General features: G+C 38.2%; 1 protein-coding gene and 1 long non-coding RNA gene across 5 annotated transcripts in view, besides 5 other annotated features; one reads left to right on the forward strand and one right to left on the reverse strand.

The window, feature by feature from the left end:
• Positions 1 to 3,675: 3,675 nt before the first annotated feature.
• Positions 3,676 to 24,531, reverse strand: IVNS1ABP (influenza virus NS1A binding protein). Of its 4 annotated transcripts, none has more exons than NM_006469.5 (15): positions 24,241 to 24,531; positions 18,383 to 18,610; positions 16,671 to 16,799; positions 16,291 to 16,460; positions 16,088 to 16,163; positions 14,777 to 14,950; positions 14,302 to 14,427; positions 12,824 to 12,931; positions 8,722 to 8,851; positions 8,260 to 8,484; positions 7,725 to 7,846; positions 7,505 to 7,631; positions 7,287 to 7,418; positions 6,998 to 7,171; positions 3,676 to 5,576 (listed from the first exon to the last, which is right to left on the reverse strand). In NM_006469.5, exons 3-15 carry the CDS (start codon positions 16,779 to 16,781, stop codon positions 5,323 to 5,325), a joined length of 1,929 nt encoding a protein of 642 aa, NP_006460.2. In that variant the 5' UTR covers positions 16,782 to 16,799; positions 18,383 to 18,610; positions 24,241 to 24,531; the 3' UTR covers positions 3,676 to 5,322. The 4 variants fall into 4 exon arrangements, with proteins under 4 accessions (NP_006460.2, XP_047290026.1, XP_047290052.1 ...); XM_047434070.1 differs by having other exon boundaries at positions 19,773 to 24,531; XM_047434096.1 differs by lacking the exon at positions 16,291 to 16,460.
• Positions 23,857 to 24,470: an enhancer, noted in NCBI's record as "NANOG-H3K27ac-H3K4me1 hESC enhancer chr1:185285701-185286314 (GRCh37/hg19 assembly coordinates)". NCBI's record gives its function as "activates a minimal SCP1, AML or CMV promoter by ChIP-STARR-seq in naive H9 embryonic stem cells {active_cell/tissue: H9 hESC(naive)}" and the evidence as "EXISTENCE:reporter gene assay evidence [ECO:0000049][PMID:30033119]".
• Positions 23,960 to 24,019: a silencer, noted in NCBI's record as "silent region_1646". NCBI's record gives its function as "represses an Ori minimal core promoter by ATAC-STARR-seq in GM12878 lymphoblastoid cells {active_cell/tissue: GM12878}" and the evidence as "EXISTENCE:reporter gene assay evidence [ECO:0000049][PMID:35858748]".
• Positions 24,480 to 24,789: a silencer, noted in NCBI's record as "silent region_1647". NCBI's record gives its function as "represses an Ori minimal core promoter by ATAC-STARR-seq in GM12878 lymphoblastoid cells {active_cell/tissue: GM12878}" and the evidence as "EXISTENCE:reporter gene assay evidence [ECO:0000049][PMID:35858748]".
• CBSLR (CBS mRNA stabilizing lncRNA) overlaps positions 24,740 to 27,171 on the forward strand; it is a 58,849-nt gene continuing 56,417 nt past the window's right edge. Inside the window, exon 1 of the long non-coding RNA XR_007066771.1 lies at positions 24,740 to 25,565. This is a non-coding gene — a long non-coding RNA (CBS mRNA stabilizing lncRNA). The remainder of the gene's footprint in view (positions 25,566 to 27,171) is intronic.
• Positions 25,120 to 25,219: an enhancer, noted in NCBI's record as "active region_2242". NCBI's record gives its function as "activates an Ori minimal core promoter by ATAC-STARR-seq in GM12878 lymphoblastoid cells {active_cell/tissue: GM12878}" and the evidence as "EXISTENCE:reporter gene assay evidence [ECO:0000049][PMID:35858748]".
• Positions 25,470 to 25,549: an enhancer, noted in NCBI's record as "active region_2243". NCBI's record gives its function as "activates an Ori minimal core promoter by ATAC-STARR-seq in GM12878 lymphoblastoid cells {active_cell/tissue: GM12878}" and the evidence as "EXISTENCE:reporter gene assay evidence [ECO:0000049][PMID:35858748]".

A 27,171-nucleotide genomic window follows, 5' to 3' on the forward strand; every position in this document is an offset into this window, starting at 1 on the left:
TATCCACCTGCCTTGGCCTCCCAAAGTGCTGGGATTACAGGCATGAGCCACTACACTTGGCCTTTGAAACTTACTTTTACAAAAGATAGTTCATTTCTCTCCTGGGAAGACCAGCGAACATCCTCTGGTTTGGAGGGCCTCCAGCTCTCTCCATATTCTGAGCCAAGGAAAAGCTGGCTAAAGAATTGAAGTCTGTTGTGTCCCCACAGGGTCCTCTTGTTAAAACCTGCAGTGGTCAATTGTGACTGCACAGACTAGAACTTCACAGATGGGTTAATCCCACTTTCACATTGTGGATCTTTGACTGTCACATGAAAGACCAGGTGACACAAGACACATCTGAAGCTCTATTTCCTTGCTATTTTGAACATTATTTTAAGGGAGAACGAAAGTCCTTTCATTGTCAGTCCAGGTTTATTTAGATGGTGTCTTGGTCAGCTTTCAGAGCCTAGGTCACATTGTTCATATTCTTGACTTTTTGCTCTCTTAGCTAGCATGACAGGTTGGGATGAATTTCCCTCTTTCCTCAAAGTCTGGTGACTGCATCCAGTCTCTAAGGATGTGATGCTACCCATGGCCCTTTTCTGACTTCGAGATTGGACAGGCCAGTCACACTTCTATTTATTGGGTATATATAAAACCCACTCCAGTGAACAGAACTGAGCCCCATGAAGGCAGGAACTACACTGTGTGTAGTGTCTCATAGTTGTGGTTAGTTAATATTTTTGACAAATTGACCTGCAGGCTCACCTACTCTAAAACAAAAGACATACTTTACCTTTGCCTACCAAAGTTTGACTTGAAAGCTTTTAAGTTTGTCTGGTCTGTCAGGTGAAAAGCCACTCAGTAAAGTCAAACAGATACACCTCTTAGATCTTGGAATATGGCCCACAGAAATGGATTCTTCTGGAGCCAGAGTACCTCAAGATGTTGGCTTTCCTGAGGGTTTTAGTATTATATATACTTGTATTTTTAAAAATCCATCTCTGTATTCATGGAATTCTTTAATATCTTTGGCTGTTGTTAAAAGCAAGAATTGGCCACCCTGAGGGTTTGTAGACTAGTTTTGGCCTGTGACAGGAATCCTTTTTAATTCTAGCTTTGTTTATGAACTAGATGTAGTTTGTCTCAAATTAATTCTCGATGTTGAAAACACTGAGGACAGATTCTTGAGCAGAATTACCAGTTATAAGCCTGGAAGGTGAGGTGGTGGACACCCAAATCCGAGCTACTAGCTTGGTTCAGTCTTCTTAAAGCACAAACCATTTTCAACATCCTATTCTTTATTTCTAATGAGGTAAAATATGGACATGTTCTAGCCCTTCTTCTAAGCTTGATATTTTAAAGGTTTGGTACCACTTTGGTTAAGCTAGAAAAACAAAACTTTTTTTCCTTCGTAAGTGTAGAGTTCTGTGAGTTCTGTCAAACATGTAATCAATCAATCATCAGCAGTCAAGATATTGAAGTCACACCACCCCTAAAAATTCCCTCATGTCCCTTTGTAATTAACTCCCATTCCCAGCTCAGGAGGCCATTGATGTGTTTGCCTTCCCTGTAGTTTTTCCTATTCCTGAATGCTATATAAATGGAGACTGTTTTTTTAAGAGACAGGGTCTTGCTATGTTGCCCAAGTGCAGTGGCTGTTCAGACATTATAGCATACTACAGCCTTGAACTCCTGGGCTCAGGCAATCCTCTCACCTCAGCCTCCTGAGTAGCTGGGACTACAAGTGCATGCCACTATGCCCAGCTAATGGAGGCTTTTGAGTCTGGCTTTTTATTTAGCATGATGCTTGAGACTTATCCATATTATCAGTAGTTCATTATTTTATTCCCAAGAAGTATTGCATTGCCATGGATGTACAAATTTATTCATTCACCAGGTGGAAGGCTACTTCACTGAATTCAGTTTTTGGTGATTATGAATAAAGTTGCTATATTCACATACAGGTTTGTGTGAATATGTTCCTTCACTTGGGTAAATACCTACGAATGGGATTGCTTTGTCACAGATTATTAGAAAATGGATGGATTGTTTTTTAAACTGCCTGTGCACCTTTGCAGTTCCTCCAGCAATGTATGAGAGTTCAAGTTGCTCTGCATCGTAAGCAGAATTTGGTATATTCAGTTTCAATAGGTGTATGCCATTTTGGTTTTAATTTACATTTTCTTAATGATTTATGATAGTATTTTCCTGTGTTCTTATGGCATCAACTTCTTTTGCAAAGTGTCTTCAAATATTTTACCCATTTAAAAATCGTTTTAACAGATCTCATCTTATTACCTTGCTGGACATTTCATCTCAGTAGTTTCATTACTCCAAGTTAGGTCTTTCTGTGTGCCTTTTTTTTCTGGCTAAAATTATGTTACTTCCTTTGGTCATCCTGAGCAAGTGTGTGGCCTCTATTCAGATATATGCCTCTGTTAAAGGCATTCCACACAGATCCAGCATAATGATTGAGTTTTGCTTCTCACCTTTGTTCTCTCCACCCAGTAAGGTGTGGAGCTGTTAATAAAGTTCATTATTTTATTGGCCAAGATTATTGATGCTCATAGGTTGAAGAACCCATGACATTCACATGAGTTTGTATGTTCCTGTTTATAAACTCTACTTGTTCAAAGTGTCATTAATATTCTTGAGAAACTGGCAGTTTTATTATGAAGGATATCTGCAATTCATAGCAATTACTCCTTTTTAACCTAGAGACACTGATTTAACTTAATAAAACCTGTTTATAGGATGAAACTTGTAGCTCAGTCTTACCAAGGATTTAAGGATTCATATATGAGTGTTTTTCTTTCTCCTTTACACCTAGTTAATTAACCTTGTATCTTATGTCTCACTTGCTGACTCTTCAGACCTTTTTTTTTTGGAACAAAAAGCAGCTGCGTGTAAATTACGACAGCAACTGAATTTTCCATGAATCATATTCACTTTTCTGAAGGCAACTCTGCATGCAGTTACAGAAATGTCCTACTGGGGCTCCTCCTTTGCCTACTTCAATTTTAAGAATTCTGAGGTCAGGAGAGGTAATAGGGCACACACCTAATTTGTTAATTAAGCAAGGATTCTAATGATATATCACATACTCAAATCCTGGATTTTCCCTAAAATATGATTATTATATTGGGAATTTGAAAACATGTTGAGCAGTGGTAAAGTACATGACACACTAGAAGCCAAAAATCAGAACCCTACATTTAAAGTTCATAATAAAAGATCCACCCGAGTATAACCAATAATATTTGGTTTAGATATTTTATAGCTTTTCTACCTTTTTAGGAAATTTAGAGTGTTTTATTAAGTTGACCAGAAGTGTGGTATTATCAATATTATTTTGAAACTATTCAAAAATTCCTACTGGTTAAAAAGCTTTTTTTTTTTTTTAAATTGTGCTGAGGCTATGCCATTTTCTCCCTCTCTGAAGAAAGTATGTACCTTTTAGATACAGATTAACAGTAACAAATGGCCACTGAGCACTGCTTTTTTTCCTTTATGGAAACTTCTCATGTTCATGCAGACTAGCTACAACAGCTTCTTAAAAAAAGATACTTTTTGGCCACCAAACTACCTCTTTGGCATCCAAGGTAATGCAGGAAAACTTTGACCCAAAGTATTCCCATATATTATTTGCATTAAGCATGTCACTTATGAAATGAGAAGTGATCTCAAGGATTTTAGTGCTGAATCCTCAACTAAAATTTTATTTCCTTGTGCTGAATAGAACACATACAGATCCATATTAAAAACAGTCATCATATTAGGCAAATTCAATCTGTCAATGTAGTTTTAGTCCAGAACCAAACCAGTGATAGTTAGGAATTACAGAGTTACCAACCAAACTGATTTGCTTTCCTGGTGGTTCTTTGTGTAACAGATGAGAGAAATAAAGTGGCAGAGTACCAGTGAACATTTGGAGAAAATACCTAATTATTTTCTTCCTAACCCAAGTTAGCCACTGAATAGTCATCTCAGAATAGTCACCTCATCCCAGTTGGCCCATTAGGTTCCTGTGTGCTTCATCTTCTGTGAGAAAAAAAAACCTTATATCATTCCTTATTTCAGATGTAAGATGCCAGGTGAGTTATTTTCCACAAATTTCTTAAGCTCATTACTGGAAAAAAAAATTTCTCAAAACTTTTAGTAATGAATGAGTGTACAAGCAGCAATTGGATATTAATCCCATGGTGCAAGGATTTCCTGCAAAGTACCTTTAATGTGTTTAAATCAGCAGCAAGCATTAGGACATGCTATTTTGGCCCCATAAGTTAGGTGTGTAGCACTACACATTAGACACCAAGTCATCCCAACCAATATTTATCCATATGAACAGATAAACTGAACAAAAACATAGTTCTGATAAAACCTGCATTCACAACCTAATGTAGTTTAAAGTAAATTTTTTCACAATTGAGGGCTGCTATTTAGGACTGTTTTGTTAATAATAAAAACAGGAATTATATAGAAGATAAAACACCATTTTTTACTGCTATATAATGTCTTGCTATATAAAACATACCCTCAACAAGTCAAAATATTTAAAACCAGTGTTTCAAATACCAAAAATCACAGCTATGTTACTGTTCAGTAACTCCACTCAAATAAATGTTAGTACTGCATTCTTGAAGGAAAAAAACTGCAGCCAAGGCAAGAACTCTGAAGTTTGCACTCAGAGTTTAAAAGACAGACCCCTACTCTGCAAACTGAAGACTGCCACTCTGCTTCAATAACTCCAGCCTGCCACATTTTACTTCAATTGGTAAAGCACTCTGCTGAGAATATAAAAAGTTATAAAAAGGCAATCATAAAAGATTAAATATTGGTAGGCATGTAAGCTTCCTTTTAATAAAAACAAAAATAGTCAATGTCATCTATTTAAATAAGTATCCTTTGTTATAGAGTGTTCCAGTTATTGAAAAAGGGCCCTTAAAAAACCCAACTGTCTACATCTTTAAACCCTACCCCTTTTACCCCATAGTACACATTTGAGGGAAGAGTCATTTAATGTGCAAATTGGCAAAACAAATGTGGAGGAGAGGGGACTTCTTGAAATGATGTGCCCAATCAATTCTTGGTTTATTCTTTTCCAAAAAGTAAAATAACCAAAGTCTTAAAAGTACACAAAACAGACCTTCATCTTTGCATTCCTTTCCAAATAAACCCAAAAAGTATGTACAGCATGTTTAATAGTATGCAATATGCAAAAGCTTTGTGTTGCTGTTAGCAACATCTATACCCACCCACCCTCTTTATTCACAAGTGTACCTCTACTAACCATAATTACATCACTAAGCCTGTTAGTTTGAGAGGGTCTTAAATTTGTTAAAACTGGAAAATCTTTGTATAGGGGCTCCATTCATTTGACTCAAGGTTATAGACTTCCACCGTATTCAGAAATTCATTGCCATCGAATCCTCCCACTGCATAAATGGTGTTCCCTACAGTTGCAATCCCAGCATTGCTCCTTGGTGAAGTCATATTTCCCATCATCTTCCATTCATTTCTAGTTGGATCATACATTTCCACACAACTGATGGCATGAGAACCATCAAAGCCACCACATACAAACAGTTTTCCTAAAAGAGAAATGAGATGGGGTAAATCCAGAGATTAAAGTGTAATAAGGTAAAACTCCCCTAAATCTGTCTTTTGCTTAAAAATCAGTGGTTTTAAAAATAGAAATGCCTGTTCATTTTGTCAAAAAGAATTTATTAAATGCCTAATATGACAAATACTCTCTAAGAGCTGGGAATCAAATCAATAAAAAAACCATTCCCACGTGGAACTTAGGCAACTTAAAAGGGGGAGGGAGAGGAAGCAGTAGCAGCATCTAAATAAGTACAATTTTCACCAACTCTGTGGTAGTTACTATTATTATTTCAGAGAAGAAGAAAAGCAGGAAGAAGCTGGACAATTATCCTACAGATGCAGCTACTAAGTAGCAAACCAGAATAGTTCTGTGCACTGGACTTTATATCAGCCCAATGTACAGAATTAAGACTCAGAAGAGATTATAGGAAAGCAGAAAAATATCTTAGGGCTTTCCAACTGTATAAAATGATTTTGGGGCCAGATGCGGTGGCTCATGCCTATAATCCCAATACTATGGGAGCCTGAGGTGGGAGGACTGCATGAGCCCAGGGGTTCGAGACCAGCCTGGGCAACACAGTGAGACCATGTCTCAATTAAAAAAATAAAATGATTGTGGTACAGAAATTTCTTCTGGAAACAGAGTTATGATTATTTTCAAATAGATAAAATGTTAGCAATAAATACTCCGTAGCTTAGAAAAAATTTTATTACTGATTCTCAAATTCATTATTTTTTCATTTGACCATCACTTAACCAGCTTGCATTCTATGTATCTGTAAAGCACGCTGACAATGCTCTAGGCCAACAGGCTGTGTCTACACTTAAGCCTTCACCAGTTGAGCCATAAGCCTGCTAAGGTTCAGCCTGGTACCAAAAACAATGCTAACTTTTAAATTATGATTATATAATTAGACATTAAAAGTCAATAAAATGGAGGTGGAAAGAAAGCTATGTCTACATTTAAAAAGTTTAATACTTTGGAAACTTGTTAAAATAGTCTAAAGGTTGTATTTCCAATTAGGTATGGAGTAGACAGTTGGAAAAGACTAGGGATTTGCCTTTGTTTTGCAGATCAGATTCTTTAAATTCTGGCTGTAAAGAAGGGGAAACTCAAAATTCAAGATGATGCATTAAGGATATGTTTTATAGAAGAAAATGACTTGGAAATTCACTCAGTGCACCCATCAAAAGACTGGTGAATTAAGTTATATATCAAGTATTATAAGTCTTTGATTAGAAAATATATTTCTAAAGGACAAATCACCCTAATCTCCATTGCATCAAAAGAGATGACTGCTTCTGAATTCTTAACTGTACAACTATAGTCATTGGCCTTTTCTCTCAGAGTTTTAGAACAAAGTCTTGCCACTATCTACTCTTCACCTCTCCAAATCCCAACACTCACCATTAAGAACAGCCACTCCAGCTCCTCGCCTAGCCACATTCATGGGTGCAATTAAAGTCCAGGTATTATTTTCAGGATTGTATCGTTCTACTGTGTTCAGACAATTCCAAGATTCTGCACCTCCGATTATGTACAAATAACCACCAAGCTCACAGACTGCAGACTGGTGTCTCCCTACAAGAAAAGTCAAGTCAAGATTATTGCTACATCTCCCAGACTCTAAGTGTATACTACACATACTGTTGATTTGAAGGTCTTTAAAAAAAAAAAGGAAAAAAAATCAACTTACGAATGTTAAGAGGGGCACAGCTTGTCCACAACTTTGTTACAGGATCAAATACATCACAATTTTTCAGTCCTTTTTGACCATATGGATCAGAGCCACCAACGATGTATAACTTTCCATTCAGAGCACACACTCCTATGTAAGTATAAAATAAAGTTACATATTGATAATTTAATTATCATATTTAAATACTGGATATCTCAGGAGAAAACTATTATTACCTGCATTACAACGGTTAGTTCTCAATTCTGGAACAGGAATCCAGTCATCTATGTTTGAATCATACATCTCTCCACAACTCAGGTCATCTGAGTGGCCATTTGATCCACCTACCACATAGAGCTGGCCCTATGCCAAAAGTGAGAGATGAGAATTTCTAACATCCTGAAGTTACGAGGAAAAAGCTAAATAGGGGTTGCTCCTGCAACATAATGCGCTTACCATGAGTACAGCCATTTGAAATCGGGCTCTTGGTGTTCTCATGGGAGCAAGAAAGGACCAGTGATCTGTATGTGGATTATAGCATTCGACTGTTCGAAGACATTCCTCTCTGTTATAGCCACCTGGTAAAAAATAAAACCATAAAGATTTATGTTTAAAATATTAAACTGGACCACGGTTTCCAGTCCTGTAAGTTTAAGAAATCTGCACAATGAGAAAAAGTATTAAAACTTTTTAAGGATGCCTTAGTTGATCTTTTAACTAAGTGCTTGTAATAGCTGAAAAATCGCATTATCAGTACAAATAAACTGCTTAGTCTTGGCTTGAATATTAGAAAAATTTAGCCATGACATAATTTTTTTAAAAATTAGATACAGACATTGAACTGAAGGTTAGCCATATTCAATAGTATTGTTATTTCCCTATCTTATTGGATTGCCGTGAAAGATGGCATATTAAACCCTCTCTTTGAAAGTTTGCATGTCACAAAAATGCCCATCTACATGCTTAGCCAGTTGAATGCTTCTGTTCTTACCTGCAGCTATGAGTTTGCCATTCATCTCTGCTGTTCCCAGACCAGATCGTGCGTACTGCATAGGAGACATGGGCTTTTCGATTAGCTCATCTTGTTGCATCTCAAAGCTTAAACTCTTACTTAGTTTTGGAGTACTTGTTGGTGAGCTCTGTGGGCTGTTTCTCCCATGAAGAAAAATGACACAGAATATACCATCCAGCACAGCCAGGCACAAGTAAGTGTTATCTGTAAGCACAAGAGTTCCATGTTTAAGATGTAATTATTACTTTTGGTTTGTGTATATGATCCTGAATTGGACTCCAGTCTCCACATCCCAGACTGGAACAATCTGCTCTCGTTTTCCAAATTTAATTGCTTCTGAGTTTTTTCCTCGAGTAGTCAATTTAAGAGGTATTAAATTGGCAACACTCCTTCTTAAAAATAGGTAAGCTGAAAACAATCTGGCAAGTGTCATATACTTACTTGAAGTCTTTTCTGAAGCAACGATTTTCCACTCATGCTTAGGGCTTTGTACTGTAGCATTTGGAGAAGAGAGACATCCAGTTGAACTGCTACTTATCTGCTTATGGCCATTCTCACGTGGTGGCTTTTTCTGCAAAATCAAAAGGTAGCTACAGAAACCTAGCCAAAGACCACATCTGATGTACCTTTGTTCCTGAGCTATTCCACAACACTGAGTATCCTTCACCTATATATGACATTTATAGGACACTAACTTTAACTCAAGCCAACACTTTCCAAATGACACAAATTACTGGCATACTTCCATCTCCACTCAATGATGAGACAACTACGCCTACACAATTAGCCTAGGTAAGAAAAAGCTCAGTTTTAACAATTTGAAAAACATGTTGCAAATCAAGACCTCAGCAGAAGAAAAAACCAATCTATAATTATTTTTATATTAAGTATAGAATCTTTTAAAAGAATGCTATAAATTTAAAATAGTGTGAATTAACAGAGAATACATTTAACCCACTATTTTCATGAAATTGTCAAACCTAACTAAATCATATGTACAGGTATCCTTCATACAATGCCAGCAAAACGTAAGCAGATATAGATTCATCCAGTTTCTCTGAAAGTACTTGACAGGAAAAAAGTGGCAATTACAAGAAACACTTAAAGAATATTTCTTTAGGATTACCTTATAGGTATTATAGAGTGGTTTTCTAGACAAAATTACATCAAAACACAAGAAAATAGTAATCAGAAATGAAACATTACTAAAAACAACCAAATATTCACAAAAGTAGAATATACAGGAATACTAAAGAGGGAGAAATGAACAAAGCTGCCAATTTCCAAATGATTGTAAGAGAACTACTTTACACATGTGTTCTCATGTATGAGTTTTCCTTGATGGCTTCCTTCCAATTACTTTAGCCTTTGCCACTTCCAAAGGATATGATCATATGGAATTGGAAGAGTAAAGACTACTCTGAGAGGAACTGCCAAATGAACAGGTAGCAACTTCAGCACCTGGCCTAGTTTGCTCATCCCACTTGTGCTGGTCCAGATGGCCAGAACACATGGATAGGTAAAATTTCTAATGGAAATTTCTGTTGCTAGTGGAAGCAAAAAGCCATATAACAAGTAATTGAGAAAAAGATTTTGCTAGCTACTTGAAGCTATTAAGAAAAAGCTATATCAAAAGTTAGGCCTGAGTGTGGTTACAACATACGTAGGCTATTTTGAGAAAAGGCAGGGAATGTATCATTATCAATGGTTATGATTAAATTCCACTTAGATGTTTACTATGTACCTAGGTATTACTAGGTACTTTATTTACATCATCTCTTTTAGTCCAGTGAGGGTGATATTATCTACCCATTTTATAGATAAAAATATTGAAACTCAAGAAGATATGCATTGCCCAAGGCAATACAACTAAAATAAAGATTAGGAATTATGAAGATAAACCCCATCCTTTTTATACTATGACAAGTTATGTCATACTATAAAACAGATTTACACTATGACAGGCTGTTTTCCACTGTTACTAAAGTTGTGAATGCATCTTTCATATCACTTTTATACTATGAATATTAAGAATAAAAAATAAGGTTAGACTTATCTAACCTTATCTATTATTATGAATTACAAGGTACATAAAACCTCATCCCAACCTATGGGAAGAAGGGATCCAAATATCACAAATGGATGATGCTTACATTGAGGCTGTACTGAAGTAAAAAAACTGTTCTAATGTACAAACTATAATTAAGAGAAAATGACTGTGAAAGAGAAAGGCCCAAAAGCAATGCCTAATAACAAGCCTAATATAGAAATGCTGATTAAATCCTTTATATGTAAAGAATATATCCCTAAACCTTATTTTACATGACCTCCCAGAGAACTTGACAGTGTTTAGTCCTCCTTCAAACTTTCTTCTCCTACCTTAGGTAGCTTTTACAACATGATTAGATTCTTATTGTCCTCTGACTTTTCTAATGGCTTCTTCTCAACCTCCTTTTTCTATTCCTGAAGTCTAACATGTGTCCCTCGCATCCTCTTCATGATCTCTATTCATGGCATCACATTCTAATGAGTCACACATGTCAGAATCCCACTTATTCTCAAATTCTTTCTTTTCCCTAATCTTGCTAAGCAATCACTAAGGCCTGCTAAGTCAACCTTTGTAAATATAAATGTCTATTTATATATAGACATAAATAAAAAATCTATCCTTTCTCCTTCATGCCCCTAGATTAATCCCTCATCATTTTTTTAAAACCTGAACTACTGCTGGCAATAGTCTATAAACTGGGCTCAAACTTTTATTGATTTTCTGTGTCTGGTTATAAAAATAGGAAGGGTCCAAGGCAACAATTTTAGAAAATAAAACCAGAAATCAGTTGGGATATTCCAGCCCAAAGACTGCCACCTAATAGACTGTTCCCCAGTTTTTCACCATTACTAAAGTGAATGCAAAACTTTCGTATCACTGTATTCTTACCTAAGGCTTCCCACTGCCTATAGGATAAAGTATAAGCCCCATTCAGGGAGCATTTACCTACTTTCCCAGTCTTATGACCTGCAATTCCAAGAGTATCATCCTCACAGATACTCTTTGCTAACACCTCTCCCTTTATCTGCTATGCAGACTCCTCTAAATCCTAACACTGCTCAAAAGTTACCTCTTGTGTGAAATATCCCTGGCTTCTCTCCTGTCTCACTGTGTCCTCTCCTTTAGGCCTTTCGTAGCTACCTCTTATAAGCCTGTATTGTTTTGCCCACTCTTAGAAGGTCCTACAAGCAGAAACTGTCTCTTACACATTTTTGTGTTGCCATACCGAACATTATGGCCTGCCACTTATTGGGCACTCAACCTCTGCATGTTGAAAATGTACTTTTAAAATGTTAACTCAAAATGTTTAGAGTTAAGGGGGAAAATATCCTCAATATATTCAAAATGCACAAACATAGGTTCTCAACTAATTCAAATTCCAAAACTTTTAGAAATATTCACTCACTGTTGCCACAGGACACCTGAGAGAGCTAACACCTGATAATTTGTAACCATATAGGCTACTACTAAGTCTACCACTTACCCTCTGATTTTTAAAGAAAAGCATTCCTTAGTCTGGGCTGAGTCGACTGCTTTATAGCTTGTCCCTCAAAAACATAATTTGAGCTAAAGGCCAAATAAAAATATATACTATATGACCATTTATATAAATTTTTTCAAGCATAGCCAAACTAATTTAATGTGTCAGAAGGTAGGATAATGGTTTCCTTTGGGAGCACTATACGGAAACGGTTGGGAAGAGGCAAGAGAAAGGCTGCCGGGATGCTAGAAACCTCTTCTTGACTTGGGTAGTGTTTACACTGGTAGGTTCACTATGTGGTAATTATGACTTGTGTACTTTTCTGTATTTGTCCATAAACTTAAAAAATTTATACTTGAGAAGTTTGTTCTCTAGTAATTGTTGATAATGTGTCTGAATAATTATGTGTTTACTCATAGGGGAAAAATGAAATTGGATTTTATAAAAGGCAAAGTAACTCAATCAGCACAGTGGAACTCTACTATATTTTAATTCATCTTGGTTAAAGAAACATCTAGATCAGGTTTTAACATATGATCCACCACTTTTAGACTTATTACATTGTATAGTCCATCTTAACTATACCATTTCTAATTTCCAGTAAGACAGCTCAGTAGTTAAGGTAACATCCAAAAATTTCTTTCATAGCCATCAACAATTTAAGTCCCCCTGCCCCTTTTTAAAAAAAACTATCAGTCATGCCTGACACAAACAACTGCTTTTCATAATCTTCCCAAATAATTTCTATATTGTTCCATCTTATTGGCCTTTACTGTTTGTAATTCCTGCTTTATGAGAAAAAAATTTCAATAGGGTTTCCTAATTTGTTAATATCTTTTCATGTGGCAAAAATACTAACTCTAAGATATGCTTGTTTTCTCCCAAAAATGTTTCTGTCCAGTTATACCAATGAAATTGGTCCACTTTCCTTTATTAAAGGAAAATTTAAGTATGCTATCAAATTCTCTAGTCAAATTTTAACCTGAGGTTACCTCAGACTGTGCAATGTGTACCTGCACAAACTGAATGTGGTCATCATCACTGCCAAACACCTCAGCCTGTCCATCTAGTAGGTTCCCATCAAGCAGCTTGTGATCAGCTGAGTAGTACAAGGTTTGAACCTGCAAAACAGCAACAGAACACCCATGTGGCTACGGTCACCATGGCTACTCCACTAGTATGCAGATTACACAAACGCCTCAAGGTAACCTCCAGTGTGCTTCTTGAGCTTCTTGACATATTACTCTGGCAGGATCCGGAGGTAAAGAAAAATACATGTCATGGTGGTAAAAATTAAAAAACAAAAACAAAAAACCAAAATCAAATACAAAATCTTCCAATACTGGCTGAAGAGTCGTTGGCTTGATTGGCTTGAAAGAAATCTTCATTTTTTTCATAGCTTCTATCATATAACAGTAAGAAAAAAAGCACTAGTACAATATATACTCTTAAAGAATATACATATTTACAATAAAATACTGAATATAGTTTACACCTTTGCAGATAAGTGGTCTGGTTTGCATAAACATATTTCCTTCCTGTAAGCAATGTCAAGAAAAACAAAGAAAAAACAAATGCAAAAATTCAAGCAAGCTGTAGAGTCATCTCCATTGAGACAGATGCAAATACATGGCAAATGCATCTGACTTTCAAGTGGGAATCATAGAATTTAAAGATAATCTGTTAGCCCTTTTAGACCATAATGATGACAGTGTTTCTGCAGGCCTAACAGATTTGGTAAGCCCTCATAAAGGAACTCCGAAAGGTTTAAGTGGAGAGAGAAACTCAAGGTTACTCCACTGCTCCACCTGCGTGTTTTCAATTCCCACCATTTCTCCATCAATTTTATCTTGTGTATTTTTTTTAAAAGTAGCCCAAGTTAAGTGAGTGACTATATGTATGAACAACACCATTGAAAAACACACAGCTTTAAAGACAAGAATCCTGTAAAGGAGTAAACACCATTAAATCATCATCGTTCTCTGCCCACAGCGGATTTTTCTTAGGAGAACTGGGGCAGGACTGCTGCTTCTTTACGTGTCAATACACTTGAGGTTTCTTCTTGTTTCTTCAGTCTTGGGTATCCTAGTTTTGTTAATAAACCTATGGGGAGATAAATCAATGGGGAGGAACAACCATTAGAAGCTTTTACCTACTTGTCAAATTTAAAGCAAAAACCTGTGAAGAAAAATTAAGAATCTACAGAAAATTTCAGTACCACTTCCCATTTCTAAAGCAAATTACATGCTACTTTAAAGAAAGTTAACAGCACATAATAAGCAAAGAAATAAAAAAAGAAAAGCAGAAGACCAAACTGAACAGTTCATTCAGCTCACCTGGACACCCCCCCTGTTTCTCAGCTTAGGGGTACCTATAGCAAAATTTAAATTCTTTAGGGTCATGGTTATAAAATAAAAGTGAAAGGGAATCCTTCATGTTATAGCAAAATAATTTTTAAAAATGGTTGAATCCCATTTACTTTAAAACTAACCTCTTCCATCAGCTCTTCCAGACTGTCTCCATTCTCCCAGATGCTACGCTGCACCCAGTTGATTACCTTTGTATATAATTTGCCATTGCTGGGCAAGCAAACATTATCTTCAAGCATTACCTCCAACTAGAATTGGGAAAAACAATGACATGGATCAGTGTTGGGCTCCTAGTTCTCAGCTTAATTCCCAATTTCATAATAAAGTTGTCACAGATGCACAATTCATTCCATACATTTACTCTAATTTGTAAGGAACCAGGAATTTGTAAGGAACCAGGAATTTGTAAGGAATTTGATTACTGAATCAAAAACAAAGTAAACAAACTGGTAGGGAGAAACCCATTACGCTGCTAAGAATAACAATATAATTTCAATGTATTATTTCATAATCATTACTCACTTGCTTGAAACACAGACCAAGATTCCACGCCTGGAACTAGATAGTATATATCTGTTTATAGACTTTACTCCTTACCTTTAGCCTTGGAAGCTTAAGAAACTCCTCCTCTTCAGAAATTTGTAACAAATGCTCCTGAATATAAGCATCAACCTTATTCAACAAACGGGAGTCTCCCATACAACTTGCAAAATTTCGGTAAGAGATGCAGCTGGTAACATCCATTCTAGACAGTAAATAATCACCACAAACCTTGGAAAAGAAATATATGAGTGCCAACACTTACATATCTTTTATTCAACAAATATTTAATGTTCAGTGTGGTAAAGACTATGTGAAGATACAAAGAATCAAAAATCACTGTCTTAATACAACAAATGTTAATAGTGGTAATAACACGTATACAAATGATAAACATCTAATTATGCCATACAGATATGTAAGTTTTAGTTTAAGGAGAGGTACAACAAATTGAAATGCTATGTAAGTTCACATAAGTATTTTCAAGTAGAATAATTTGGTAAGGCTTCATGAAACGCAGTATCTGAACTGGGCTCTACAGGAGAGATGATGTTGATGTTGAATGCAGACAGAAGTAGAGAAGATGCTGCAAACAATTTAATTTGGTTGGAGAAAAGATAACTAGGAAATAGTTTTGGAAAGACAGCAACTATATAAGGGAAAATCTAGAAACTAAATGCAGGGATATGTACTGTAAATTAAGGAAGGATTTTTGAACAAAGGAGTGGTATTAGAAGAAGGGCTAGCAAATCAAACTTTTTCTTAAAGGGCCAGATAGTAAAAGCATTTTAGGCTTGTAGGCCATTCTGTTTGTCACAACTGCTCAATTCCGTCACTGTAGCTGGAAAGCAGTGTAGACCATATGTAAATGAACACACATGGCTGTGTTTGAATAAAACTTTATAAAAATAGGCAGCTGGCCAGTAGGCCTTAAGTTTACTGACCCCCATGCATTAGGGGATTAAATGCCTGTTTTCCAAAAGTACTTTTTACTGGCATTAAATTCTAGAAGGAATACTTTTAGAGAGCACAGGAAGTTTAGGAGAACACAGAATTGAGGATATAAGTTATGTGATTAACTCTTAAGAAAAATATTAATTTTAATTCATGCTATCAAAGGCTGACATAGCCACCCTACCAGAGAAGATTGCTGAAAGGGTCAGACTTCAGCCCAAATTATCTGAGAAGAAGTGTGATCTTGCTACATTATTATAGCCAAACAGTTAAAATAACATATTGACTACTCTGAGGGAAAAAAGGGACATGTTCAAGTCCTTGAAACTAACAAGATGTTTTATGACAAATTCAGCATTGCAATCACACAAAATAAGACTCCATAAATGATTTTATTTACTTCTGATACTCTACCTGCTTTACTCGATCCATCTTCAGCTTTTTTGCTGCAGAATAAACATCTTTTACCAATTCCTTATCTGCTTTCAACCTATTTAAAAAAAAAGTTACTTATGATACCAAAGCCTTAAAACACACTTAATTTAAATATATGTAGCAAGACTTGGAATTTTCTGAAGATATTCCCTAATTATATGGTTTACTTCAAATGTACTTACTGAGCAGTGTAGGCATAATTCAACAAGACTTCAACAGCTTCTGGATTGAGATCATCAAATTTAACGTGAGAAATTCCATGAGGATCACTATCACTATTAAAGATTTCAAATAAATAGGGACTGCAGCAAGCTAGCACTGCTCTGTGTGCTAACATTTCATGGCCACAGACCTGAAATTATGAAGAATTATAATTATAAGTATTGTGGATTATGTGCTTCTCTAGCTAATTACTATATCAGATTCCTTTATCTTACATTTCTCAGTATTCTTTTAAAAAATCATTTCATTAAATGCCTATGAAAAAGAAATAAGCAAATCTAAGAACTTATGGCTTTTAGTAATAAAAAATTCTATAAATTTTGAATTAAGTTTTAAATACCTGAAGTCGAACATCACAGAACTGGCCACTTTTCCTCAGGGCATTTAATTTGGCAACAGAAGACTCAATAAAATTTTCATCCTCAAACATCAAATATCCATTGGGAATCATTTTTCCTTATAAATTTGGCTAGATGATGAAAAGAAAGCTGAGTTATTTTACTTGCAACTGATGGTTTTAAAAATATAATGCTAAAGAGTAATACAGTCTCTTTATTCTCAAATTCCATCCTATAAACAACACATAAAAATTTCATCACACAAAAACTTAGCTGAAACAACACCTGTGTTGAATGTCCAAGTCTTTGTTCCCTAATACTTTGGTCATAAGACTTTTAAAGGATTCAAACAGTAGCAGCTATCTCGACAATTTTGGCCAGGTTCCCATGCCCATTAAGCAAATTCATTCTGAAGGGAAGGGAAGGGAAGGAAACGAAACTCCATCCTGCCCAAACCCATATAATAAGTAATCTAAAAGCCTGAAAGGGTGAAATAGCCAGTACATATAGGTTTCCTTGGATTTGGGCTCCTGTCATTCCTTTACCCACAAATGAGAAAAACTGTTACTTATCCTAATCCTAGCCTTTTTCAGTTGTCTTAAAGGGCCCCCAATTTGCTTCTAGTCTTCAAAATTATATATAATCAAGATTTATATGCAGAAAATTGCCTAATGTCTTCCTCCCTTGCCTAGTACACAAACTTAAAAAGTCTGATTAGTCTTGTCACTGTATCTACGAAATTATTTTTATAAATGTTTTGAAACATATACAGTGATTTAAAAAGATGAACTTATATTCTGTTCCTTTCTTTCATATATTCTAAATCACTTATCTCATCAGATTATATAAATATAAATGGGAACTTACAACTTTTTTGCATTTTACCATTACTTATAAACAACTGACTAATGACTACACAAAATGCATAATTAAAAAACAGTGATAGGCTGGGCGCTATGGCTCACACCTGTAATCCCAGCACTTTGGGAGGCCGAGACAGGTGGATCATTTGAGGTCAGGAGTTCAAGACCAGCCTGGCCAACATGGTGAAACCCTATCTCTACTAAAAATACAAAATTTAGCCAGGCATGGTGGCGGGCGCCTGTAATCCCAGCTACTTGTGGGGGCTGAGGCAGGAGAATTGCTTGGGAGGCAAAGGTTGCAGTCAGCTGAGATTGTGCCACTGTACTCCAGCCTGGGCAACAGAGAGACTCCATCTTAAAAAAATAAAATAAAATAAAGAACAGTAATAGGGAGGCCAAGGCAAGAAGATTGCTTGAGCCCAGGAGTTTGAGACCAGTCTGGGAAACATAGTGAAATCCTGTCTCTACAAAAAATGTAAAAATTAGGCAGTCATGGTGGTGGCGCACACCTGTAGTCCCAGTTACTAGGAAGGCTGAGGCAGGAGAAGCACTTGAGCCCAGGAGTTCCAGGCTGCAGTGAGCTATGATCCCACCACTGCACTCCAGCCTGGACAACAGAGATCTTATCTCTTTAAGGAAAAAAAAAAAGGCAGTAAGAAATTTTAATTTGAAGTTACTGATTTATTTAAAGTCAAAATATAGAAAAGAAAAATATGATGTTTTTTATACTCAAATGATTACTGACTTCTCTGCCTTTAAAAAAAGAGTATGAAAGGTTTACTGTACTCGACATCCGTCTTCAGAAAAACAATGTGTCTTAATACTGGACTAGGCAGAGAACATTCACTTACCTACTCTGTTGGTGGCAAATGTATTTCTGGGAACTCTTAAGTAATCCAAGGACAAAGGAGTGTTAAAAGGTGCACTTCGTCAGGGTATGAAGACAGGTGGTTGAAATGAAGGCAGGTGTGTCTTAAGCTCTAATGGTGATTCCAAAACTATCAGGCTTGAAAATGATGTAATCAAGTCCTTAAAAGCTATAGACACGAATTTCTTCTGTGATAATGATGCATCATAATCTATAACAATGATAAATTTAAGTTAGATATTCAGAATAATCAAAGACTGTCATTGATCTAGGTAGAGCAGATCATGTAAAACAAGTCCTGATCTTCAAGAGATTTGACATAAATGGCAAAAATATTCCCATTACATAAAAAAAGAACACAAATGCAATTCCACATAAACATTTTTCATTTAACTTGCAACAACCCAAGTGATTAAAAAAAAAAAAAAAAGTCCTTTCCCAAAGGGCAGGGGCTAATGACCTATGTTTATGAGAGGTATAAAAGCACAAGACTACAAAACAAATGTCAATACTGTTTAATTCTAATATTCTTTATTATTAATTTCCAACTAATATGCAAACATGAGATCTGTTTTGAGCCAGCAAGCAACCTTAGGCATTATTCCCAAGCATATATACTATGTTACTGTTCCTCAAAATGAACTCTGCACTTCCCAGGCTCTGTTAACTTTGTTCAAGTTCTTCTCTCTACCTGGAAGGCCCTTAACCCAACCTCTGCCAGAGGAAATCTTACAGCCATAGAGCCTCTGCCAAATGCTCCCAGTTGGGAAGCAGTTTCTCCTCATCCTCCACATTTAGAACCCTATCTGAGGGGTATTTATGATCTTCCAGCTGGTCTGTTTCATGCTGTATTTATATTCATGCTGTATTTATATATACTTGTTTATCTTCCTTGACTCATGGGCAAACCTTCTGTCTTGTTCATCTTTTGTATCCATCCCATCTCCTCTCTACCAGGACTAGCCTAAAAACTTGAACATAAAGATGAGTAATTTGTTGGAATAAACTAAACAGAAGGGAAAATACTGATGCCTGTGCTTTGTATAATCATTTTTCTCATACACAGTAATAAACTACCAATGGAATCATTCTGGTTCAAACCTAATCTTCAAGGTAATCAGTCCTCCTACCTATTCTCCCTCCCTCATTTTCACATCATCAATTACTAGTGTCAAATTCTGATGGTACTTATTTTGTAATCACCTGAACTGCTATTACACCACTATTAACTCTGGAAACCAGAACTAAGGAATAACTTACCTGAAATACGTGCAAATATATTCATTTTTATGGATATCTTAAGATTATTTGCCTTATACATCAATACAACAATTCTAAATCTAACAATTACGTCAAAGTGAATAATCACTTACCACAGGACTCCACTGCAGGCTGGTCCAGTTCGAATTCAACAAACCTACTATGTTTAGTTCAACATGTGTCCTAACAGGTCTCTCTGTAACAGGTTTCATTTCAAGGAAACCCAATAATGCCAATTCGGGTTGGGATTGTTGTGAATGCTTACCCTTGCATCAAAACTATATCACAGCATTAGGTAATATTGATTTCCTCTGCTCTACCTTTTATCTAGGTTAGTTAATTTGGCTTTTCTCTAAGAAACTAGTTCTAACAAATGTTTTCCAAATATACATAATTCTTTCTACACAGAGAGAACACACTATCCTAAAGAAACCTTCAAACATTTTCAGCCAAGACCTGGCTCAAACTAAGAAAATTTTCATATATATATGATTTATACTGGCATGGTCAATTCACAGGCATAGTTGGCAACTCCTAACTTCAGTTTCATAAGCTGCTCTTAAAATAAGAGGAAGGAGTCCCCATGCAAATTGTTATATTAAAATGCATCCTCTGAAAAGCCAAAAACATTATAATATGAAGGTACTATTTTAAACTTTGACCAGTTTTACTCACTTTTTACTTGTAAACTTGATCTAACAAAAAATAAAAATGGTATCCACTTACTATATTTGACAAATTGAATGATCTACCTAAAATTTATTTTGGAAAAAAATGGTTAAAATTACTGCAGCCCTTGGAGAAAACACTGGAGAATTTTTGGGGCAATTTGCATCAGACAAATTTGTACAATATTATTATGAGTTTTGCAGTAAAATGAATCCTGTATTTAGTGCTTGATTTTTATTTAGTTTTTACTCTAATTCCATGACAGTACCTGATTTTTAGTACATCAAGGTCATAATATGAACCTCATCTCTTTAATATCTACTGATCAGAGTACAAAGCTACTTGATTTTAAAAGCCAGCCCAAATCTAGATGACATTTAAGTTAATGCAAACTTACTTTATTCAATTATTGTCCTCATACACTATATACCTACTTCCCGCCCACCTCAAGTTTGGAGGGGATCAGATCAATTCCTGTCTGTAAAACCATGTTTTTGAAAGTTCCTATTTACTTTCATTAAAGTGAGCTAGGGCAAATCAAGAGTTTTAAACTACTCCCCAAATTGACGGGAGATCTTATTTGGTCTATAAAACTCAAGCACGATAACTAGTGGAATTAAAAAATGGGGAAAATTGTTTTCTTTGAAAATCCAAACCAAAAGTCCAGACATCCCAGAGTCATATAAGAGTATGAAACGTAGAATTGTTTGGTGTTTAAAATACACTTTCAACTAAATCTACACCTAGGTCACTTTTCTTACACATTTAAAATTAAAACTAGGATCAAATACAATATATTCAGATAAATTCAGCATACTTCTATGGCCACTGCAAGGGATACCGAAGACTCATAAATGAGTAATTAAACTGCTTTAATAACACCCAGAAGTTCACAGCCCGGAAAGATTAGCTTAAGTGAAATACAATTCAACAGGTCTTATCAAAGAGTTGTTAAAAAGGTAGGCACAATATGGCCTCTGCTAAAATTTTTCTCTGGCCTTCAGTAAGACCAAGATAAAACAAAAGACAATCGTTTGAGGGCAGTCAGCTCCCACCAAGTAGCCATCAGCTGCATTTTTAAAGGAAAGACTTTATAATACAAAGTAAATCAACACATCTTTTTAAAACCAGAAGTTACAGCTTTCCAAAGTAACCTCTAAAACCACCATCACCATCCATGTATATGAAAACTCGCTGAACTCATTCATTCTATCCATGCTCATAGTTTTGTAATTCTTTCACTACAACACAAACATATGTAGCACCAAACATATGGAAGGCACAAACTGAAATGGAATGCTCATATCATAACACAATAGAAGTTAACTCAGTTCTCTAGCCTGGAACACTTCACAGGCCAGTCAGAAAGATAAAACAAGCTGTGAAATAGCTTAAGCAGAAAGGAAAAAAGGTATGATAGCAAATATATTCCAGAAACTGCAGCTATTTCAGTTTCAATAGATTGTAGATTTGCAGGATGCATATGGTAATAGTGGGCGAGGAAGTAAGAGAGCCTAATTCCAAGGTTTAAACAATGCTAAGCATGGAAAGTAGGTGAAGGATTTAAACAAGGAAGCATAGGGCATCCTAGCAGAAGTGTGGGGGATGGTCTAGAGGAATGAGTAAAGCATGGAAACAGGGCAGTTAAGATTCTGTACACCCATGCTCCTTTAAGGCAGTGAGGACTTAAGATATTTTATCTTAGATATGTGGCATCCTTATTAACATCAATTATCAAAATTAAGATATGTGGCATCCTTATTAAAATCAATTACCAAAAAGCATAACACAAAGTCGTTTATAGTTTGCTACATGGAGAAGGGAAGGAAGGAAAGGAAGAATTTGGTTTGAGACGTTCTAATGCTGAGGTATCTGCATGTTAATAACAAAAATATAATAGTATGATGTTAAGTATAGGTTCAGAAACATTTACAAGATATACAACTTGTAGTTTACAAGTATGTATTTTCTGTTGTTTTAACAAAAACCCAGAAATCAATCTCTTACTCACAATACTTCAATCTACACACACACTAGCACATGCACATGACATGGTGGGAAGACCCCCAACCTTTAATAATTCCTACTTGCAGGATTTGACTATACAATCGCACTGCTAAAAAGTGGATGAAATGACTTACTTAGTGTTACTTCATCTTAATATCAATTAAGATACTTCCTTAACAGGAAAACATTTATATTTAAAAACGTATTTGCAAAACTACATTTAATTACCATCTAACAAATCCTTCAAGCAAGAAAAAATCCCACCTTCCAAAAGCAAGTAGCCAAAAAGACACTAATTTAAAACTAAGACTAAAACCTGAAATGTTTTGTCTTGGGGGGAAAGTTAGAAAATCAACTACAAATTAAGACAATGGCTATAGAAATTAGTATCTATTAGTTAACCAGAGATATCATCTATTAGGAAAACACAGAGGAAAACCATTCCAGGGCTCTCTTTGGTCAGTGGCTCAAGTTCCGTTTACCTCTGGCTACCAAATTATAAGCTTGATAAGCAGCCTGCCAGCTGGCGTTAAATGATACTAGTCTCAATTCAATTCTAAAGTCCATGTTTACCTCACGTCCAGACTTAACAAATACAACTACTCTTTCAGTATCTTTAAGACAGAAGTGTCAGCAGGCTTTAGCCTAAAAGTAATCATCAGTATTTTGTTTTTCCTAAATCAATCACTGGTGCTAGAATTATTAAAAGAAAGCATGGCCTGTGGCAGTCTAGTCCATGCTGTACTTATTCATCTGTTAAGAGTGGTACTAGGCTTCCAGAGTTGTCATCTATTAGTAGACAGAAGACCACGACACACTCAACGAACAGCTTGATGCCAAGGTGTTCTAACGCTCCATCACTGCACGCTCCATCACAAAAATGCGCCCTTTTGGACATCTGATTTCTCCTTGAAATGTCAGCTGTCTCAAACCAATAGATATGTCCACTACCTATTGGGGGAAAAAGTAAATGTAGTTCTCAAGTAGTGGTTCAAGTTACCCTAGGTTCAACCCTCAGCCTGATACCTTCCTATCATCAAGAGCTTATAATCAGAGACACTTAACCAAAAGCGTGGAGGGACGGAAAAAGAGCAAATCTTGCCACTGATTTCTTTCATAAAAAAGAAAGAGCGTCCCAGGCCTTCCTCCTCGCGCAGCCAGGCCGGCGCCCACTCCGCAGGCTGCGAGGCGAGGCCCCCAGCACCCGCACACCCCCGCCCCGGATTGGCCAGCCCCGCAGTCACTCAGTACCGACACGTCAGGGCAGCCGCTCCCTCCCTCCTCCCGCCCCCTTCTCCCCGCGCTTGGCAAGAAAAGCGGGCAACGTGGAGCGGGAACAAAGGACCCCGCGGCCCACGGCGATCGGGGACTCCGTGCCACCCTACTCCAGGCCCGGGGCTGGCTGCCCGCCCACACGAGCCGAGTCTCGAGAGCTCTTCCAGAAGAGAATCCCAAACCCCAGGCAAACCCGAGGCGAGGCGTCCGTTCCTGACAGCAAGAACGGGGAGTCCCGCGCCCTCCTTCCGGCGGGTCATCCCCGCCCGCGGCGCCCTAACCCAGGCCCCCCAAAACCCTTCGAACAAAAAACTCTTGTTCCTCCCAGCCTGCCTCACCCGCGCCAGTGTAGCAAAGGGGCTCCAGCCTCCGCGCTCTCCGAGGCGACCGGCGCCCGCTCTCGGCCGCCAACGCAACTTGGCAACCATGGCAGCGCTGGAGCGCGGGCCCAGCGCGGCGCGGGCTTCACGTCCCAGAGGGCGGCGGCGGCCGCTTGGGGCTGCCTCCCCTGATGAGGACACCGCTTCCGCGCCTCCCACCCTCTTCCCATCCGCCGGCGCCATCCCTTCTTCTCGGATTCTAGCCGCGCCGTCTCCCTCATCTGTCGTTCGTAGAACCAGCGCGTATTACCTGGTTCATCTCTGAAGAGATGGAAACATTCATTTCTAGAGCTTCGATGGGAAGCAGGAGGAAGCGGGCGGGAATCGGCCCAACGGAAAGCGCCAGAAGGCGGCGGAAGACGGGAGCGGTCAAGTAGAAGGACGAGGGGCCAGTCCGTGGAGACTGAAAGGAAGGGGGAGCGCCACCGAGAACTCGCGGGAACTCGCTCGCTCGCCGATACAGCCGCGCCGAAGCAGCAGGCGGAGAAACTGCGCCCAGCAGCTCTGAGCGACCGACCTCCACGCGCGACCGGGAGACACTGCCTCCGCCGCCGCCGACCGCTCGCGCCGCACCCCCTCGCACGTCACCACGTGCGCTGCCGCCGCCGACGCCTCCCAGCCCGCTTCCGTCTCGAATCCATCTGCAAATCACAGGCGAGCTCCATAAAGATCCCACTCTAAGCCCCGCCCCACCCGCGGCCCCGCCCACATCCCGCCCCGCCTTCCTCCCTGGTCTACTGGGGTTCCTTCCTTCTCGGTGTAACTAGGTCAGCGCAAGGTGATCCTGAGGAGATAGGCGGCGCTCGGGGGGCGCCCTCGTTCCTCTTATCGCGCCTTTGTCCCTCCCTCCGTTCCTTGCCCCGCACCCTCACTTTCGCCGCCCTGTGCGTTGCCTGTCCCGGAACTGGTTCCCTCAAGCCGCCCTCACCTGTTCTGACTTCCCCTCGAGGCACAATAGCCTGAGAGATCAGACGTGGGAGATTAGATTGCTCGGCGTCAGACCTACTTCTAGGCAACCCCCCCTAGACTGGAGCTGCTCGTCGTGGACATTAGGATCTAGTTGGGCATGAGCCCTTAACTTAAGGGTCGGGGGGGAAGTGGCGGGTGCGGAGAGGAGGCGTGGAGAGTGTGAGGAAGAAGAGAGGCACTCTGAGAAGAAGTCGAACAACTAACCCCTCATTTGGCCTGGTTTGGGTGAGAAGATTGAGTCACTTGGGGAAAAAAATATTGGAGAAGTCAGAGAAGGTGTAAATCAGTGGTGCCACAAACACCAGTTTACTTCCACTTTTCACCCCCCGGGTCTGTTTTGTCTGCGTGCAGCTCTCCTCGTGTCGGAGACGCTGAGTCAGTTCTCTACTGGTCTTGCCCTCTTCCGGAAAAAGAAAACACACCTGAGAAGTGGTAGTTCCTATCCTAACCTACTGGGGCCCTTTATACCAGGTGCCAAACTTCATTATCCACCCCACCACCTTGCCCGGGAGGGAGATCTGTGAAAGCGAAACGTGATTTAAGCTGGGATCTGGCAGCAACTTCGTGGACTCTGAAGGGCACGTGGGAAAGGAGTTTTGATTGAAGGTGAGGGATTTAGTGAGGTAAAATTATATCCAAATTAGAGTTTGGTAAAGGCTTCCAGGTTAATGTCCTGTTAACGCTTATCCTGATTTGTGGAGGACACTTAAGCTGTCTAGGCCTAACCTTGTGTTTGATCACTCACCTTAATTTGTAGACATTCTAGGAGCTCTTTGTCAATGCCTCTTACCATTTTTATCATTAACTATTTATGCTTATAGAAGCAGGAAAAATAAATTGTGGGAGCCTTCATCTGCAATAGGTTTACAACTTTTTTTCTAAAATCTTGAGGCAAGGAGACTTATTCCCCCGCCCCTTTTTTTCTCACAGATTTCTTGTATGTCTCCCTCGCCCCGCCCGCACCCCGTCCCCCCGCCCCCGGACAATTAATTGTAGGAGGAAACAAGAACTAAGATGTCTATTCGAGTGATTTTTTATATCTTTCTTAAGGAGAAAAAGACTGACATTTGACACTGTGCTCTTGTTTTGTCTTGCTGATAATAACTGACAGCAATGTTTACTTTTCTTACAAATGAAACTATCAGGGTACGTACTTTTAAGCTCTTTAATACAATGGGTTTCATCCTTCCAGTGGGAGAGTATGAATTGCCCACTCTGCGTAGACACATGACTGCTGGCCTGTTGGACACATGGTCACACTTGCTATACTCTAAATAGTGTCTTTGTGACCTGAAACAGTCAACACTTTTCTTAAAGCTACAGTGTGCCCACACTCATTGTATTTTTGCTTTGTATGGAATTTCAAATTTACTTATTACCTTCTCTATGAATAATAGCATAACTTATGCATTCCATTTATGCCTTTCAGGGAACCTGATGGTTAATTTCTACCTCTTAAAGTAACACATTATGTTGTAAGATTTTGCTCTTAATATAGCAGTCCCCCTTATCCTTGGTTTCACTTTCCAAGATTTTGTCAACCATGGCCCAAAAATGTTACATCACTACTCTTGCATTTGGGGGGTATTATTACATAAAATGATAGTTATATGAACACAAGCACTGTCACACTGCAACAGTCTGACAACCCAGACAGCAACTGGCTAATGGCAATCTGGGCAGGGACAGAGCAGACTGTGCTCCTCAGAATGGTGCACAATTTAAAACTTATGAATCGTTTATTTCTGGAATTTGCTATTTATGTCACAATACTTATGTCATTCACCTCACTTCATCTCATCATGTAGGTATTTTATCATCTCACATCACAAGAAGGAGAAGGGTGAGTTCAGTACACTAAGATGCTTTGAGAGGGAGACCATACATAACTTTTATTACAGTACACTCTTAAAATTGTTTTATTTTATTATTATTATTTTTTGAGACAGAGCTTCTTGTCTCCCAACCAGGACTATAATGGCACAATCTCAGTTCACTGCAACCTCCGCCTCCAGGTTTCAAGTGATTCTTCTGCCTCAGCCTCCCGAGTAGCTGGGATTACAGGTGCCCGCCACCACGCCTGGCTAATTTTTGTATTTTTAGTAGAGGTAGGGTTTTGCTGTGTTGGCCAGGCTGGTCTCGAACTCCTGACCCCAGGTGATCTGCCCACCTCGGCCTCCCAAAGTGCTGGGATTACAGGCATGAGCCATGG

Source organism: Homo sapiens, chromosome 1 (genome assembly GCF_000001405.40).
Source record: "Homo sapiens chromosome 1, GRCh38.p14 Primary Assembly".
In the NCBI taxonomy this organism is placed as follows: Eukaryota; Metazoa; Chordata; class Mammalia; order Primates; family Hominidae; genus Homo; species Homo sapiens.

Excerpts from the sequence above, each read along its gene's own strand:
- IVNS1ABP (NM_006469.5), bottom strand. The coding sequence starts at position 16,781 with ATGATTCCCAATGGATATTTGATGTTTGAGGATGAAAATTTTATTGAG. Across the intron at positions 12,932-14,301 it reads TGGAAGAGCTGATGGAAGAG|GTTCAAACCTTGTACTACTC; the intron begins GTTAGTTTTAAA and ends GCTGTTTTGCAG. Across the intron at positions 7,172-7,286 it reads CTGTGCCCCTCTTAACATTC|GGAGACACCAGTCTGCAGTC; the intron begins GTAAGTTGATTT and ends CTTTTCTTGTAG.